Raw genomic sequence first — 2,412 nt, 5'->3', positions numbered from 1 at the left:
CTCTGCTTCCAAGATGGCACCTTGGATGCCATTGTGGAAGAACCAGAAGACAGCAAACCCACTTTTGCAAGCCCATTTTTTATAGCAGCGTTAATCCATTCATGAGAGTAGAGCCACGTGACCTCAACGCCTCCCATTAGATCCCACCTCCTAACACTGTTGCATGGGGGATTAAGTTTCAAGATAAGTTTGGAAGGGACAAAAATATTCAGACCACAGCACTCCTTTCATATGACAGATAAGGATAGGTTTTTTGAATCTGCTTTTCTATTTGTAAAATGCGATTATGTAATATCATCTTACTAATAACTTCAGGTGACTTAAAATGTCCTATTGCATTTAAAATACTTTGCCAACTTAGTATACTTTAGATATGTAAGGTTCTTATTAACACCTAGGGCTCCGAATTAGCTGGAAGGCACTATTCCTTAACAGCACTCGATAATTGATATATGGCCATTTAAGGAATGCTATACCATACTTTGAAAATTCACTCATGCTGCCTTTTGGTAGGTAATGATGATTGCGAGTCTCTTTTCTCTTTTCTGGCCTACATTTAGCCCCAGTTTTCCTTTTCTTGACAGGCTTGTTAATTTCTTTTTTTCTATCTAGAGAGTATAAGCCAGTATACTGTGACTAATGATATCTTTTCCTCTTTCCTGTTTCATTTCCTCATTCCCATTAGTGGAGGAGATACTTGGCTCTGGAGTACAGTTCTGTTTTAAACGTCTTAGGACTGATTTTTTTTTCCCCATAGGAAGTACCAGTGAATGAGAAAAATATGGTTTCAATATCAGAATTTTGCTTAAAAGACAAGCTTCAGTAAAGAACTGTTTATTTTATTAAGGGATATCAGTATAACTTTGTTTCTGCTCTGGCTTTGCATTCTGACTTGACATCTATTGTTACTTTTAATGTTCTCATTAACCTAATGCTTTTGAATGAGTCATAAATTATTTCAGTATCTGAAAGTGAAGATACTGTTTAGGAACTTGTTACTCCAGCATATTTTGACGACTTGAAGGAGCTAATGCAGTTTCCAAAGGTGCCTATTTGGAAGAAGCCAAATGACCACAGATATCATGATCACAGATATCAGGCATAAATAAGTATATAATAAAAAATTATAGCTAGAAATCTGAATAATCAATTTAAAAATAACACAGAAGCATCAGCTTAATTCACAGGAATGTAATATGATTACAACTGCAGAAGGCTTAATGACTCACTATTTGGAAAACTGTGGAAAAGGTACTTCCTCCCCTGGGTTCTTCCCCTCCCTTTAATATTTTCCCTTCTCAGTGCCTTCCCTTTGTCTGCCCCTTAAATCATTCCTCTTAGGTCTGTCTTGACCCACTTTATTTTTATGCTTCAAGTTCTTCCTCCATCTTAGTCATTTGCATGATGTAACAGAGATTACTCTTTGTTTAACCAATATCCACTCACCCCTCTTAAGTAGCAGAATATCAATTTTATACAAGGAGTTAATGGACTCAGCTATAAGATTACATTTCCCAGTCTCTGTCATACTTAGGTGCACCATACGTTGACGATCTGGCTAAGGAGTTGCAAGCAGAACTGGTGTATGAGATTTCAGAGGCGGCTCCTAAAAGGTGCTGGAAAGTGCCCTCTCTTGCCCTTGCTGTCTTCTTGCAGCTTCCTGAAATATGAACACGGTGGGAAGAGCTTGAGCAGCCACACCAGAACAGGATGTAAGCTGTGCACTGAGGATGGTGGTGCAGAAAGCTGGGAGTCTGGCTCCCTGATGACAGGTTATAGCCATCATTACAGCCCCTACTCCCCACCTTTGGATCTAGAGAAATAAATTTTTATTCTGTTAAAACTGCTGCTATTTTGTGTTTTCTAGTATAACCAAGTAAACAACTTTAATTGGTAAACATATATTTTTGTGCTCATAACTTGCATATTTTTCTCTAACGTTGTTCTCCTGAGCCTCCGATTTATGTATTACTAGGTATTTCCTTATTTAAAAATATGTATCTTTTTATTTTTATTTATTTATTTTTAGAGACAAAGCATTGCTACACAAGCATCTGAAAATTATCTTCTCCTGACTGAACTCATAACATCCCTCCCATTCCCTCTCTAACCTGCCCTCGTTGTGTGTGAAATTTGACCACTAGTCTGGTTATCCAAGGAGAGCTCATTGTTAATCCTGGAACCCTCCTCTTTCTCTCCCCATTATATCTCATTGCTCACCAGATCCTTTTATTTTTTTCTCATAAATATTTACCAAGTTTGCCTCCAACTCTGCACCTCTCTCACTTTATCCCAGTTGGTTTCTCATCATCTCCAGCATGCTTTAGCAACTGGATCAATTTCATCCTTCTCACAACTATTTTTTACAATGCTGTCAAAGCGATTTGTTTAAAAAACAAATCAGACCACACC

At 37.7% G+C, this 2,412-nt stretch overlaps 1 annotated feature.

The window, feature by feature from the left end:
* Nucleotides 677-1,876: an enhancer, noted in NCBI's record as "MED14-independent group 3 enhancer chr4:68157353-68158552 (GRCh37/hg19 assembly coordinates)". NCBI's record gives its function as "activates an origin of replication core promoter dependent on BRD2, BRD4, P300/CBP and CDK7 cofactors, and independent of MED14, by STARR-seq in HCT116 cells {active_cell/tissue: HCT116}" and the evidence as "EXISTENCE:reporter gene assay evidence [ECO:0000049][PMID:35650434]".

This window comes from Homo sapiens, chromosome 4 (assembly GCF_000001405.40).
Source record: "Homo sapiens chromosome 4, GRCh38.p14 Primary Assembly".
Taxonomy (NCBI): Eukaryota; Metazoa; Chordata; class Mammalia; order Primates; family Hominidae; genus Homo; species Homo sapiens.
This window is presented reverse-complemented; position numbering and strand designations above follow the sequence as displayed.